At 38.5% G+C, this 17,349-nt stretch overlaps 1 long non-coding RNA gene across 1 annotated transcript in view; it reads right to left on the bottom strand.

The window, feature by feature from the left end:
- The window catches only part of LOC105377343 (uncharacterized), a 78,644-nt gene that overhangs the window by 40,769 nt on the left and 20,526 nt on the right, over window positions 1-17,349 (bottom strand). The gene's annotated exons all lie outside the window — the stretch shown is intronic.

Genomic DNA, 17,349 nt, shown 5'->3' on the forward strand with positions numbered 1-17,349 from the left:
ATACATATTGGCATAGAAAGATTTAGAAGCAATTTACAACAATCCCATTTTTGTTAAAAAAAAAGTATACTTACAAATATGTGAACATAAGAGGTTAAAAATGGATGCTTCTAATGGTGTGGGACTAAGAGTTTTTTCTTTTTCCTTACCTAATTTTCCTGTAATGAGTGTATATATTGCTTTTGTAATGAGAAAACACAAAATAAATTTGGAGATTGGGTGTTAAGATTGACTAATGAAACCTTTAATAAACAAACAACAATAATAAATTCTAATGGTTAACCAGGCACAGTGGCTCACGCCTGTAATCCCAGCACTTTGGGAGGCTGAGGCAGGCAAAACACCTGAGATCAGGAGTTCGAGATCAGGCTGGCCAACATGGCGAAACCCCATCTCTACAAAAAAATACAAAACATTAGCCGGGCGTGGTGACACACTCTTGTAGTCCCAGCTACTCAGAAAGCTGAGGCAGGAGAATTGTTTGAATCCGGGAGGCAGAGGTTGCAGTGAGCCAAGATGGTGCCATTGCACTCCAGCCTGGGCAACAGAGCAAGACTCCATTTCAGAAAAATAAAATAAAATAAAATAAATACAAAAAATAAATAAGTAAATTCTAATGGAGCCATTAGAAGAAGGGTATTTGGGGGTCTTTAGCCTCACTTGTTTTCTTTGATGTTCGTAACCGATATTTTCTCAAAATCTTGTAAGGTGAAAAAAAAAAAGGCAACTTCAATCCCCTGTTTCCATCTAGTTTCCTCACTTAAGATTCTCTTGGTAGAAAATCTGGAAGCACTCGTCGCAAATGCCTTTACAACACTATGTTGAAAAATAAAGCTAGGTGGAGACGATAGACCTCCAAAGGGCAGATTTTCATAGCACAATTGAGTATCTCTGAGCCTCAGTTTCCCCAACTATGATACAGAATAAACTAGACTGGAGCATTTCTAAGGTACTATCAGTTCTTATGATCTTATCACTATATTGATTATATAATGGGTATAAGAGTTTATAAGCTTAAAATATCATAGATGGTAGAATAGAGAGAGAGAGAGAGATCGGACAGATAGATATTTCCATATACTGAATCTCTTTTGTACAGATGTATAAGTAGATTTTACTATATTTAACAATGCTAATGGATGCTAAAATCCACAGCATTTCCATAAAAAGCAACACAAATACTAAAATAACCAACATACCCTTACCAAAAATGTTTAAAAGTGAAAAAAAAATCAAAAGTTCTGTCTGACAATTTCAAACATTCTCTTTACTAGAAATTGTTTTTAACAAAAGCTTAGGGAAAATTTATTCCATATAGGTTTAGAGAATTGGACATAATGTACAGAACTTGAGAGCACAAATTTCTGGTTAAGCACAGTTACCAATAAGTTCAAGCTTGGAATTTTTAAGAGCAAAAAGTAGGTAGACACTGGTAATTTCTCTTAAATTATAGAAAAAATTGTCTGGCACATTGCAAATACCCAAAACTTTTTTTTGTTGGATTAATAAAGGAAAGAATACAATATAGTGAATACAAGGGCTCCAAACACACAAAATAATTCATTGCAATCACACATTAGAAGAGACAGTTCCAAGTTTAGAGAATTACCCTCCTTGCCTCACTTTCAGCTCCTCTCTACTTTTTGTCAGCATATTTCTGCTGAGGATGGTCATTTTACCTCATAAAGGTGTCCTCTCACTACCCTTGAAATAACTTACTCATAATATAGGAAGAGACAATAGACAGGGAAAATAAGTCAAACATTAAATCAGCAGTGTCAATATAACACATATTGTAAAGTTAGGAGTTTGGTCCCAGACCTCACAAACCCAGTTTAAGTACTGGCTCTAGCAGTGGACTTTAAGCAAATCATTGACTCTCTTTGAATCTCAATTTTCTCAGATGTCTTACTCAGCTACTGATTATTTAAAGATTTTTTTTAAATAATAGGTTTGAGATATAACTCACATATCACACAGTTCACCTATTGAAAGTATACAATTAAATGGTTTCTAGTGTAGTCATAGAGTTATGCAACTACCACCACAATTTTAGAATGTTTTCATTACCCCTATACCTATTAGCAATCACTCCACATTTCTCTCCATCCTCCCTCCCTCAGCCCTAGGAAATCACCAATCTATATTGTCTCTATAGATTTGCCTATTCTGGACATTGCATATAAACGGAGTTATACAATATATGGTCTTTCATAACAGGCATCTTTTACTTAGCATAGTGTTTTCAAGGTTCATCTATGTTGTAGCATGTATCAATATTCCATTTTATTGATAAAATATACTCTGTTTTATGGATGTACAATGTTCTATTTATCCATTTATCTGTTGATAGATCTTTAGAGATTTTGTTAAATGGCTTCTGTTCCTTGGAGTAACATTAACTTAGGTGGGTTGCTTTTTTCCCTTTAGTTATCTACAACCAGTTTATAAATGAAATTCCTCATTAAAATAGGTAGTTAGCCAACACCAAGCAAATGTTCTTAAAATGCCATTATTGTCCTTTGCTCAAGCAGTTGTAGGATCCTGCCACATTTGTCATCTTGACCTCATTTATGGCCATATATAGACACTGCCCACTACCAACAACTGCAACACCATCTAATCCTTGATTTCAATGGCTCTGCTCTGGTACCTTCTATGTTTTCAGTTGACTTCCTCAACTACTGTCACTCCAGCAACTCTTTGCCCTCACCAGAATATCCAGTCCATCCACCCTCCAATCTTTTCACTGTCCAGCAATCCCTTCATGTTCCCTCTCTCTCTCTCTCTCTCTTTTTTTCTTTCCGACACACCAAGGTCCATGCAGGAAACTGCATGTTCTCATTTCCTTCCTTACCCAGCTTAGAAGCCATGATCCATCATCATCATCATGATCATCATCATTCTCCTGCAGGAAAACTCCACTCCTAGTCCCTCTGCCCTCTGTTGTCCTTGCCCAGCAACGTTATAGCCCTGGTCTAATGCCCTGCCTACTCTGTCCCCAAATTTGAGAAACTGAACATGACTGGATAAAACCACCCAATATGCTGAGGGTCATTACTTTAAATGAGTGATCACAAATCTCAAGAGGGCTTCCAGTATGCCTGAAAAATCCTATTTCATTTCCTGTGTTTATTTACTCAGTTTCCTCTACAGCTGTTGCACACTTTCTTCCCTCTTCTTAAATTTCGAGCCTCTTGCCCTTTCTCACTCTCACTGATGAACTCGCTTTTTATTTCACTCAGAAAACAGCTGCAATCATAAAATAACTTTTTTGGCATTCCTTCAACAAATCTACCTTCATCTATATGCATATACTCTGCCAGAATCTTTCCAATTACAGCAGATGAACCAAGTTTGTCAGAGCGAGAGTATACATAACCACTGATGAAAGTTCTGAAAAAAAGATTTAGATAATCATGGAGATTTTAGAGTTAAATTAGTGTAAAGTATATAGAAAACTAATTTTAGGGCCATATTCTCCACTTGTATACTGGATCCCAACCCCTCTGGCATTCTGCAAAAAATTGCACAGCAAAAAAAAAAAAAAAAAAAAAAGTAATCCTAGTTTACTACCTGGCTTATCTATGGATAAGGTTTAATAGTCATAATAAAATAAACCTGAATATGGACCTAACAAAAATTATGGGGTTAGGCATCATCTATTAATTTCCCACCATGGAAGATGAAAATTTAGCTTTCTGTCCTTCCCCTCAGCCTCTCTGATAAATAAGAACTTAAGAAAGTAATTATCTCTACTCTGTCATCCCTTTCTCACTGTTCATAGGAGAGCCACATCAGAGCATTTTTGAGCATTTTCCTTCATGGGGAAGGCTCCAGGGTGGTTCTTAAAAAAATAAAGAAAGAAGAAAGAAGGAAAGAAAGAAAAAGGAAGAAAGAAGGAAAGAAAGAAAAGAAAGAAAGAAAAGAAAAGAAAAGAAAAGAAAAGAAAAGAAAAGAAAAGAAAAGAAAAGAAAAGAAAAGAAAAAGAAATATTAATGTCCCTCTCTTCCCCATACCACTAGGATCTAGGGTGTTCCCTCTGCAGGTGCTAAGGTTTTTGCTCCCTCTTCCATTGCTACAAAATCCAGTCCAGTGGCTATGTCTTCACCTTCTTTTCCAGTCATATCCCTGCTTTTACTCATCATTTTGTTGAAAAGGTCAAGTGCAAGATGGACAAAACTTACAGAGGCCTATTACATCACAAACTCTGGCCAACCTGGGCCACTATATGGGGACTTGGCAAGCAGTGTGCTTAACTTAGTGGTCATTATCTTTATGATCTAGGATCATGTCAATACAAAAAGAGAATCCCAGTGCCTGAGTCAGAATTAAGTTTGACTCTTCTGTGCCCCCTTTTGGCTAGTTGTCGCTCGGAGGGTGTGCCAAACAGGCTGGCCCTGGTTGCTCTTAGAAGAAAGAAAGAAGCGTGCCCAAGAATGGTCGGGACAGAATCCCACTAAGTCTACATAGCCCTTCACCTCTGGTCATCACCCAGGGAGTGACTGAGAGGAAATGACTCCTTTTGGGAAATAGCTGCGTTAATTGATCAGATTGCCTCACTAAGGTGTGTTGAGTGGTAGGAGGTGAAGGAAGGAGAATTAGAAATCTTTTTGAGTGGGTTTTTTAGGAGGCCATTCTAACACTCAATGATACCAGATGCCTGTGAATGGTAGAGAACATGGAAGGTCCATTGAATTTCTTCACAATCAGCCTATTGTTGAGTGGCTAATTTTGTGACAGTCACTTTTATGATAAAAAGTATACTAATATCAGACTACAAGTGATTCAAAAGTCCAAGTACCTAACACAGGTGACTTTCAAGGACCACAATTCTGGACAGTAAATGAACTTTTCCCCTGCTTGAGAGGAAGGGACTATCTCTATCTTCCTTGACTGTTCACTACAACAACGTGAAAAAAGTGTCTGGACCCAGGCAGGCAGAGCCTCTGCTTGCAAGATGTACAGAAACGTGAGAGACCCATTTCTTTAAACAAATAGTTGGATACAGAATTAATATCAGAAGGAATGACAGAAAGATATATATTTACATATTTATATGTACATGTATAAACATATACACACACACATACACACATGCATATATATATCACAACGAATTACAACACAAAGTAGGGCTGAGTGCGGTGGCTCATGCCTGTAATCTCAGCACTTTGGGAAGCCAAGGCGAGTGGAACACTTGAGGTCAGGAGTTCAAGACCAGCCTGGCCAACGTGGTGAAACCTCATCTCTACTAAAAATACAAAAATTAGCTGGGCATGGTGGTGCCTGCCTGTAATCCCAGCTACTTGGAAGGCTGAGGCAGGAGAATCACTTGAACCTGGGAGGCAGAGGTTGCAGTGAGCTGCAGTCATGCCACTGCACTCCAGCCTGGGCAACAGAGTGAGACTCTGTCCAAAAAAATAATAATAATAATAAAAGAAACAAATGGGTTAATTATTAAAATTAATATTGCTAAAATAAGAAATAAATAAGCCTGTGAATATGATACCCCAAGAACACAATAGCATTCATATTGTTTTCCAGCCAAAAGTTCATACCTGAATCTGACTATGAGAAACCATCAGACAAACCCAAACTGAAAAAATTCTATAAAACAACTGACCTGCCTTCTCCAAAATGTCTTATGAAAGTCAAAGACATTCTTATGAAAGACAAAGAGAGACTGAGGAACGTCCTCTAAAGAGAGTGAAGAGTCATGATAACCAATGATCCGCGACTGATCCTGTCCCAAGAAAGAATGAAATTGCTACAGATGACATTATTGTGACAATTAATGAGATTGGAATATGGGCTGCAGATTAAATAATAGCATATAGCAATTTTAAATTTCCTGAGTTTGATTACTGTATTATTACAACATAAGAAATATTTTTGTCTGTAGGAAATACACATGGAAGAATTAACAGGTAAAGGGGCATGATAAAAGTAACATACTCTCCAATGGGTCAGAAAAAAATGTATCTATACTGAGAAAGAGATAATAAAATAAATATGGCAACATGTTAAAACTTGGTGAATCTGAGCAAGAGGAGTATGGGAGTTCTTTGTACTATTTTTGCAACTTTCTGGTAAGCTTGAATTTTTTAATAAGAAGGAAAAATAAAAAATTTAAAATAACAAATACTTGGGGGTAAAGTATTAAGAAGAATTATTCAAGATCTCTATGAAGAAAACTTTAAAACTCTACTAAGAGACACAAAAGGAGCCTTGAATAACTAAAAAGGCATCATAATGAAGAAATAGCTTCATTAAGATGTCAATTCTCCTTAACTAGGTGCATAAATTTTATACAATTTTGATTGACTTAAACAGCAAGAAATAGCACAAAGTCATTTAAAAAATACTACAGTAGATATTAAAATGTACTATAAAGCCAGTTGAATAATGTTATATGGTAAGGTAGACTGCTCAGTGGACTAATTACAAAGGCAGAAATGCATCCAAATACACATGCACATTTTTGACCCAGCAATTCTTTTTTTTCTTTTTATTTTATTCATTCATTCATTCATTCATTCATTCATTCATTCATTCATTTTTAGATACAGGGTCTTGCTGTGTCACCCAGGCTGGAATGCAGTGATGCAATCATGGCTCACTGCAGCCTTGAACTCCTGGGCTCAAGCAATCCACCCACCTCGGCCTCCCAAAGTGCTGGGATTACAGGCATGTGCCACTGTGCCCAGCCTGACCCAGTAATTCTAATTATTGTATTTTGTCAGGTAGGTAATATTTGCATGTATGGAAAATGACATCTGTACAAAGTCATTCATTACAGCACATTAGTAATACCAAAACATTGAAAATAGCCTTACTGTTCATTAATATGGGACTGATTAAATAATGATCTTCCCACACAAGGGAATTCCATGCATCCAGAAAGGAAAATGAGAATATACTCTATGTACTGATAACAAATGATCTCCTAGATGGAGAGCAAGATATTTAGTACACCATCACTTAATTTTTTAAAGGAAAGGAGGGGAAAATTACAAGTGTCTATATCTCTGTGTCTATATACATTGTGGTTGATAGAAAACAAAGAATGGCAATGGGAATTCAAAATATTACTTTTATTATTGATAAAGCTCATGTCAGAGAACACAACTCAGGTATGCGCCAACAGTAGATTCCCCAGTACTAAACCCAAGAACTAGGCAGTCTCATTCACTTGGGCTGGGCCCCCACAACCCTCCCCATGTGAGGGCCACTCTTGTCCATGCTTAAACATGATTGGAGAGCAAAAAGTCTGTTTGCTGGAGTCACCTTGCTCCAAAAAGGAAGGGCACGAAATAACTAAGCTTCGTGCACCAATTTTTCTGCCACCCTCATCAATCATATAACTCATTATTTTCTGAGGAGAGGAGAAAGGGATGGGGGCCGAGGCCAGGAGAGTTAGGGAAAAAACACTTTTCAGGTAAACCTTGTGGATGAACAAAAGAAGTCCTTCCCCAGCCCCTTCCCCAAGAGAATAGACAAGAAACTGGAAACTCTGAAGGCCTCTGGCAACAGGCACTAGATGACTGGGGGCGTGGACAGAAGGAGGCCATTTACTGGGTTGCCTTTTCCATTTTTGAAATTTTGAACCAGAGGACTCTATTTATATTGAAATATAAATAAAAATATTTCCAAATGATTATGTGCAGATAATTAAGAGCTGTAAGGAAAGAATAAAGGAAAAATATTGAATTCATGTATCATTTGCTTCATGATGAAATGAATGGAATTTTACCTAACTTGATATAATTGGAAAATGTTTCCAAAACACAGGTAACCTACCCAGAAAGTATAGTTGATCCAGCCATGTTTTTGCTCCTTCTGCATGAAATGTATTGTCTGCCCATCAAGAGACCACAGATGGGGGAGCCAGGTGCAATGGCTCATACCTGTAATCCCAACACTTTGGGAAGCCAAGGTGGGAGGATCACTTGAAGACAGGAGTTAGAAACCAGCGTGGACAACATAGGAGATCTTGTCTCCACAAAATATTTTAAAATCAGCTGGGCATGGTGGCACGCACCTGTAGTCCCAACTACTCAGGAGGCTGAGGCAGGAAGATTGCTTGGGCTGAGGAGTTTGAGGCTGCAATGAGGTATGATTACGCCACTGCACTCTAGCCTGGGTGACAAAGTGAGACTCTGTTTCAAAACAAAAAGAAAGAGAGCATAAATGAGGTTGAAGAAAGTAGCTACAGGCTGGATCTGTGAAAAACCCAGAATCTAGAAGAGAAGGCAATATGATCAGTAAAATGCCTTCTCAGCACGGGGGACTCATAACATGTGGGCAAGGGTGCTCTGGGTTGAGAGCTCATGTTGACCAACATTGATAATGTTAAAGAATGTCTTCTCCATACTCTGAGAGTCGCTTCTCCTTCAGGGCTGGAGTTGGTCATATAGGTGTGTTTGCTCACGCAGAAGGGGCAAAATGAACTTGTGTGGGTCCCCATTTTGTGCCTCTTCAGACTGACTTCTTCTTTGCCTCTTGGACATTGACAAATGGAGAAACTGAGATATAGCTCAGTAGCTCTCACCTTGACTCTGCTATTGAAGACCAGAGAAATCTAGACTTTTATGACTACTCCCAGATTTTACATATATATATATACATATATATATACACACACACACACAAATAATCTATTATATATATATATATACACACAAACAAATAATCTAGGAGTAGTCATAAAACCCGTGTGTGTGTGTGTGTGTGTGTGTGTGTGTGTGTGTGTGTGTGTATAGGTTTGTTTATTTTTTGCTAATTTTCATACCCTTTTTTATTCATGTTCCCATACTTCTGATAGACTCTGAAGTGTCAAACCAGGCATATTTTTAAAACAGGTACTATAAATAGGTCATGAGAGGCAGCCAAGGAAAATGTCACCAACTCACAGTGGCACTGAAAGAAACATTTCAAAGAATAATTGACTCAAAGTGCTTCCTTGCTGAGCATGCAAAGGCTGAGGCAATGGTGAAAGAATGTAATGTGCCAAATTCAAAAAGGGCATTTAGGACAACCATTCTACCTTGTTCTATCCCTCGTCCCCTGACTTCCTCCCATGGAGAAATCAGCTTCTCCCTGACTGGCTCTGCTGGATTTAAAAAAGTGTTGTGTAATTTTTATTCTGAGTTTTCCAATTAAGGTAATGGATTCAGGAGAATAGATTGTGTAACAATGAAGGAAAAATGAGAAAGAAAAGGGTGTTAAGAGAAAGAAACAACATAAAAGAAATAGCAAGCAATATTGAAAACAGAACCAACCAATCAACAAACATAACCCAACTTTTCTCCCAAACACTGCAGCTTAGAGGTGGCCTCAGGAGATCTATTGCCTAGGGCGGGACATTTGTCTCCCAGGACCTCGGCCTTCCAGGCAAGGAGGCTCTTCACACCTGATTGAAACAGTGGCTGGTCCCTGGACCAGAGGAGTTGTGTGGTGAAGCTTTCCCTAATCTACGTGAAACTGATGAAAAAGGGAGCAATGTAGCTGACCTTTTATGAAGCTAACATTCAAATAACTCTCCAGAGTCTCATTCTGTTGCCCAGGCTGGAGTGCCGTGGGGAGATCTTGACTCACTGCAACCTCCGCCTCCTGTGCTCAAGCGATTCTCCTGCCTCAGCCTCCCAAATAACTGGGATTATAGGAGCAGCTAATTTTTGAATTTTACCACCCCTCCCAGCTAAGTTTTGAATTTTTAGTAGAGACAGGGTTTCGTCATGTTGGCCAGGCAGGTTTCAAACTCCTGACCTAAAGTGACCCGCCTTCCTCGGCCTCCCCAAGTGCTGGGATTACAGGCATGAGCCACCATGCCCAGCCTAAATAACTATCCTTTTTTATTCTGATGTTGTCTTTCCTAAATTTATGGTGCTAAAATGTTATGTTTTTATCTTATGGAAATAGTAGATGCTAGTTGCTTTTTTTTTTTTTTTCAGTTGCTTTTAAATATACCCTACCTGGCCTAAATAAAAAAAGGTTGGGAACTCCCACATTCTCCAATGTTTTTAGAAATATATATCTTAGTGGAGGGGCACAGTGGCTCAGGCCTTTAATCCCAGCATTTGGGGAGGCCAAGGCAGGCAGATCAGCTAAGGTCCAGAGTGATCGAGACCAGCCTGACCAACACGATGAAACTCCATTTCTACTAAAAATACAAAATTAGCCAGGTGTGGTAGTGCATGCCCAGCTACTCAGGAGGCTGAGGCAGGAGAATTGATTGAAACTGGTAGGCGGAGGTTGCAGTGAGCCGAGATCGGTCCACTGCACTCCAACCTGGGTGACAGAGCAAGGGTCTGTCTCAAGAAAAAAAAAAAAAGAAAGAGAGAAAGAAAGAAAGAGAGACAGAGAGAAAGGAAGGAAGGAAGGAAGGAAGGAAGGAAGGAAGGAAGGAAGGAAGAAGGAAGGAAGGAAGGAAAGAAAAAGAAAAGAAAGAGAAAGAAAGAGAAAAAGAAAGAAAGAAAGAAAGAAAGAAAGAAAGAAAGAAAGAAAGAAAGAAAGAAAGAAAATATATATTTTACTGATCCATGAAGTATAATATCTTATGCTTCTGGCTGGGCACGGTGGCTCATGCCTGTAATCCCAGTGCTTTGGGAGGCCAAGGTGGGAGGATTGCTTGAGCTCAGAAGTTTGATATCAGCCTTGGCAACATAGCAAGACCCTGTCTACAAAAAATTTAAAACTTAGCTGGGCATGGTGGCATGTACCTATAGTCCCAGCTACTTGGGAGGCTGAGGTGGGAGGCTCTCTTGAGCCCAGGAGGTTGACGCTGCTGTGAACCATAATCAATATTAGTGCACTCCAGCCTGAGCAACAGAGCGAGACCCTTTTAAACAAACAAACAAACAAACGAACCCAAAAAACAGATATCATTATGGTTAATTTGGTGAATTTACTTCAAATGAATATCAAAAATCACAATGTGGCAGGTTAGCAAGTACACATATAATTTTTTGAATTGCAAATAATGGGTAAACATATCACTCTTCAAAAATTAGAAGGAAGAGTTAATTTAAAATTCTATTTGTCTTTAAAGACTTGCTTTCTTTATAAATCACTTTCTCATTGTAATAGCTTTAACAATTATCCTTTAAAAAATAGAAATTTACTCTTATTTTAATATCTTTAGTAAAGTCAGAGCAAAATATTAATGTAAAATCTAGAACTTTTCATTCCTGTGATCCAAAAAATTGTATCTTACTAAAAAATGATAATCATGTAATGGCATGTCTGTATTTCCCTTCTGAAATATTTTAGGATACAAGTTTGCATTACTGAACATATTTTAGACCCATTTACTTGCATCTCTGGCTTCCTGGACAAATTTTCAGGACAGTAGACCTAAAGTCTCATACCAAGATGTGAGTGTAGTCCCTAAAGGATTAGAACAATGGCCTGGAAATCATGATAGAATCATGGTATTGGACAGTAATTCAGCGATCTCTGGGTTCAGCAATTCTTGACAGTGCTTCTATTAAGTGCTTTTCAGTAAAAGAGTTCTTTAGTCAGGCAAATTTAGGAGATCCTGCATAATGCATTTCTACTTTGAAAATCCACAATACACATTGGCATGTTAAAACTTCTGAGAAATCCTACATTAAAGAAAATCTTTAACTTGGCTTAATCCAATATTCCCAAACTTTCTTTAGCATTTAATACTCATGAATGAAGCACACTTTGGGAAACAATGATCGAATACAACCTGTCTTACTGGTTGAAAAAGGGGGATCAGTAAAAGTTTAAGAGACTTGTCCAGTAGGTAGTAGCAGAGTACAGTCAGGACCAGAACCCAGGCCCCCTGGATCCTAACCCAGGGCACTTTCTACTATGACATGCTACTTTTCTTTTACCTCATAAATAATTTAGAAGTGATGATGAAAACCCTGTTATCAAAATAAAGTAAACCCAAATGGATACAAAGTGCATTCTTAACTATTTCCATGCTTTTCCAGTTGATGTTGTTAAAACAACATTTTAAAAAACTTGAAAGATGGCCGGGCATGGTGGCTCACGCCTGTAATCCCAGCACTTGGGAGGCTGAGGCAGAAGGATCACCTGAGGTCAGGAGTTCGAGACCAGCCTGACCAACTGGTGAAACCCCATCTCTACTAAAATACAAAAATTAGCCGGGCGTGGTGGTGGGTGCCTATAATCCCAGCTACTCGGGAGGCTAGGCAGGAGAATCACTTGAACCTGGGAGGTGGAGGTTGCAGTGAGCTGAGATTGTGCCATTGCACTCCAGCCTGGGCAGCAGAGCAAGATTCCATCTCAAAATAAATAAATAAAACTTGAAGGCCGGGCGTAGTGGCTCACGCCTGTAATCCCAGTGCTTTGGGAGGCTGAGGCGGGTGGATCACCTGAGGTCAGGAGTTCGAGACCAGCCTGACCAACATGGAGAAACCCCGTCTCTACTAAAACTACAAAATTAGCCAGGCACAGTAGCGCGTGCCTGTAATCCCAGCTACTCGGGAGGCTGAGGCAGGAGAATGGTTTGAACCTGGGAGGCAGAGCTCGTGGTGAGCCAAGATCGTGCCATTGTACTCCAGCCTGGGCAACAAGAGCAAAACTCTGCCTCAAAAAAAAAAAAAAAAAAAAAAAAAAAAAAAAAAAAAAAAAAACTTGAAGGTTAAGTGTGTGCATATATAAGGAAGAAGGGAGGCTTGTGATTGGTGAATGATGTGAGGAAGTTGCTTTTTCCACAGGCTGTTATTCAAATTTTACGTTTGCATGTATGAAAAGTTGAGACAAAGATGTGAGCTTCTAAATAACACACTGAAGCCCTCTCTGAGAATCAAGTTTTACAAATTAGACAGTATGAACTTGGATACCTTGTGTCAGAGATTATTTTGGGCATGTGTCTGACAACTGATATTTGGAGTACAAAATAATACACTGTACAACATAAGTTCTCCACAAAATATGTTCATTCTTATTTAGTAATCTCTAACACCTTTAAAGGAATTTTTCATCTAGAATTTTAAAAGGTAATTTTAAAAACATTAATTTTAAAAAATACTCCTTTTAAAATTTTTGAAATAATTTTTATGTAGCATTGGTGTCCCATATCAGAATAGAATTAGTCATGCATTTCCCATTAGTTTGGAATATTGTGAGGTGGTTAATTTTAGTGTTCCCGGATGACTTCCATTACTCCCTTAAAACAGGCCTTAGTGATCCATGTCATACAATGAGTTAAACACACACACACACACACACACACACTTCTAATTTAATAGCTCTTTATCTTGAAAAAAAATTAAAGAAATCCATCTCCAAATTATCCCACATAGAAATCCTGTGATGATTAGGGAACAGAATTTTCGAGTGGTCTTCATTTAAATAATGACAGAAATGGTTGGGGACAGTGGCTGTGTGCTCAGCACTGTGCTGAAATTAAAATAATACTAGGTGAGTGCAAAAGTAATTGTGGTTTTTGCATTGTTAAAATTTGCCATTTGATATTGGAATACATTCTTAAATAAATGTGGTTATGTTATACATCATTTTAATGGGTATTTCTCACTTTTTTGGCTAATAACATTACTTTCTGTTTATGTTTATTTTAGACTACAGAAATGATGTTAGACAAAAAGCAATTTTCTTCGTTGAGTTCAAAATGGGTCGTAAAGCAGAGGAGACAACTTGCAACATCAACAGTGCATCTGGCCCAGAACTGCTAATGAACGTACAGTGCAGTGGTGGTTCCAGAAGTTTATGCAACAACAATGAACCATTTCTCGATTGGATTGTGACATGTGACAAAAAGTGGATTTTATACAACAACCAGCAATGACCAGCTCAGTGGCTGGACCAAGAAAAAGCTCCAAAGCACTTCCCAAAGCCAAAATTGCACCAAAAAAAGGTCATGGTCACTGTTTGGTGGTCTGCTGCCAGTCTGATCCACTACAGCTTTCTGAAACCCAGTGAAACCATTACATCTGAGAAGTATGCTCAGCAAATCGGTGAGGTGCACTGAAAACTGCAAAGCCTGCAGCCAGCATTGGTCAATAGAAAGGGCCTAATTCTTCTTCACAACAATGCCTGACTGCACATTGCACAACCAACGCTTCAAAAGTTGGACGAATTATGCTACGAAATTTGGCCTCATCTGCCAACCAAGCATTTGTCAAATCTTGAAGCAAGGATCTTTATACTACAGGAATAAACAAACATTTCTCACTGACAAAAATGTGTTGATTGTAATGGTTCCCATTTTCATTAATAAAGATGTTTAAGCCTAGTTATAATGATTTAAAATTCAGTCTGAAACCACAATTACTTTTGCACCAACCTAGTTTATTCAAAAAATTTGCAATTTAATATATGACCCTTTTGTCTTTTACCTTTTTATGAGAGTATTTTTTCTCAATTTAAGATTATTTTTAAGTTACAGAGAAAAAAATCACATGTTAAATTTTTACAGCCTAAGGCTATTTCTCTCTATTCATGGCGTACACCACACCTTCATAATCCTGTCCTTGTTTCTCTAAGCTTCTGTTGTAGGCACAATTCTAAGATGGTCACCATGGTCTCTGCCCCCTGGTGTTTCTCCCATGATTATATTAGTTACATGGCAAAAGTATTTTGCAGATGTAATTAAGGTTACTAATCATGTGATCTTAAAATAGAGAGATAGAGAACTTTGGTTGGTGTAATTTAATCATATGAGCCCTATAAAAACAGATTTTTCTCTAGCTGGTAGTAGAGCTGGAAGTCAGAGAGATTCCAAGTGTCAGAAACATTTGACATGTCATTGCTGGCTTTGGAAGTGCAGGAAACCACGTGGTGAGAAATATTAACAGCTTCCAGGAGCTGAGAGCAGTCCCTGCCGGACAGCAAGCAAGGAAACAGGAAGTGCGATCCTTCAACCACGAAGAGCTAAGCACTGCCAACAACCTAAAGGAGCTTGGAAAAGGATTGTCCCCTACTCCCCCTAGGTAAAAGCCCAGTCCAGCCTATACATGACTTTAAAAATGTGTTAAGAAAAGTTCTAATTCTTATTATTTTTTTAAAAATCAAAAAGAGATATTGAAATTTTTTAAATGCTTGTATGCATCAACAGAGATAATCCTGTCATTCTCATTTCTTATCTATTAACCTGGTTAGCTGTTATTGTTTTCTTTGTGACTGTTCTTGTATTTCTGATATGATTCCAACTAGAGTATAGGCTATTACTGCATTAATGTGCTACTAGATTCTTTTTTTTTTTTTTTTTTTTAGACAGAGTTTTGCTCTTGTTGCCCAGGCGGGAGTGCAGTGATGCAATCTCGGCTCACCGCAACCTCTGCCTCCCAGGTTCAAGCGTTTCTCCTGCCTTGGCCTCCCAAGTAGCTGGGATTACAGGCATGCACTGCCACACCTGGCTAATTTTGTATTTTTAGTAGAGATGGGGTTTCTCCCTGTTGGTCAGGCTGGTCTTGAACTCCTGATGCCTGCCTCGGCCTCCCAAAGTGCTGGGATTACAGGTGTGAGCCACCATGCCCGGGCGTGCTACTAGATTCTAATTGTTAATATTTTAAAGTTTGTGCACTGATATGTGTACAATTACCCTGTAGCCTTGCTTTGTGATACTAGTTTTGTCAGGTATATTAACTGACACTTATATGCCCATCCCAACATGCTGATGCTTATCATTTGCATGGTATATCTCTTTCCATCCTTTTGTTTTTAATATATCTTTCATATTTAAAGTTCGTTTCTTGTGGATAGAATACATTGGAGTCAGTCTTGCTTTTTTAATCCATTCGATAATCTCTACCTTTTAATAGTTTAGTCCATTTATATTTATGCAGTTATTAATATGGTAGGATTTTGATCTACCAATGTAATTTTTAAAATATTTGACCCTTCCACTTTTTGTTGGGCTTTTCAATTTTTGCAGGACTTTTTTTGCCTATGTGGTGGGTGTGGGGTACTATCTTGTGGTTTTACTTTATATTTTCCTAAATACTGATAAGATTTAGCACCTTTTCACATGTTTGTGAACTATATGGGTATCTTCCTTGTAAAGTTGATTAGGTTTTTTGGCAATTTTTCTGTGAGTTTTCTTAACTTTTTCCTTCTTGATGCTGTAGAAGTGCTTTATATATTCTGGTTGGCTATATATGTTGCAATTTCCTTCTCCCACTCTATTGCTTGCCTTTTTACTATCTTAATGGTCTTTTTTTGAGAAATACAGGCTCATAATTTTAATGTAATCAAATTAATTTTTTCTTATTATTAATGCATTTTGTGCCATGGCCAAAGGCCACGAAGATGTTATCTTCTAAATATTTCATTGTTTGGCCTTTTATTTAGGTCTTTGATATGGTTTGGCTGTGTCCCCACCCAAATCTCAACTTGAATTGTATCTCCCAAAATTCCCATGTTGTAGGAGGAACCCAGGGGGAGGTAATTGAATCATGGGGGCTGGTCTTTCCTGTGTTATTCTCATGGTAGTTAATAAGTCTCATGAGATCCGATGGATTTATGAGGGGTTTCCACTTTTGCTTCTTCCTCATTTTCTCTTGCCACTGCCATATAAGAAGCACCTTTTGCCTCCCGCCATGATTCTGAGGCCTCCCCAGCCATGTGGAACTGTAAGTCCAATTAAACCTCTTTTTCTTCCCAGTCTCAGGTATGTCTTTATCAGCAGTGTGAAAATGGACTAATACAGTAAACTGGTACCAGTAGAGCGGGGTGTTGCTGAAAAGATACCCGAAAACATGGAAGCGACTTTGGAACTGGGTAACAGGCAGAGGTTGGAACAGTTTCGAGGACTCAGAAGAAGACAGGAAAATGTGGGAAAGTTTAGAACCTCCTAGAGACTTGTTGAATGGCTTTGACAAAAATGCTGATAGTGATATCAACAATAGGACCAGGCTGAGGTGGTTTCAGATGGAGATGAGGAACTTGTTGGGAAATGGAGTAAAGGTGACTCTTGTTATCTTTTAGTAAAGAGACTGGCAGCATTTTGCCCCTACCATAGAGATTTGTGGAACTTCGAACTTGAGAGAGATGATTTAGGGTATCCAGCAGAAGAAATTTCTAAGCACCACAGCTTTCAAGAGATGACTTGGATGCTGTTAAAAGCATTCCATTTTAAAAGGAAAACAGAAGATAAAAGTTTGGAAAATTTGCAGTCTGATGATGCAGTAGAAAAGAAAAATCCATTTTGGGGGGAGAAATTCAAGCCAGCTGCAGGAATTTGCATAAATAGCAAGGAGCCTAATGTTAATCCCCAAGATCATAGGGAAAATGTCTCCAGGCCATGTCAGAGACCTTCACAGCAGCCCCTCCCATCACAGGCCTGGAGGCTCAGGAGGAAAAACTGGGCCCAGGGTCCCTGTGCTG

The sequence above is a fragment of the Homo sapiens genome, chromosome 4 (assembly GCF_000001405.40).
Source record: "Homo sapiens chromosome 4, GRCh38.p14 Primary Assembly".
Classification (NCBI taxonomy): Eukaryota; Metazoa; Chordata; class Mammalia; order Primates; family Hominidae; genus Homo; species Homo sapiens.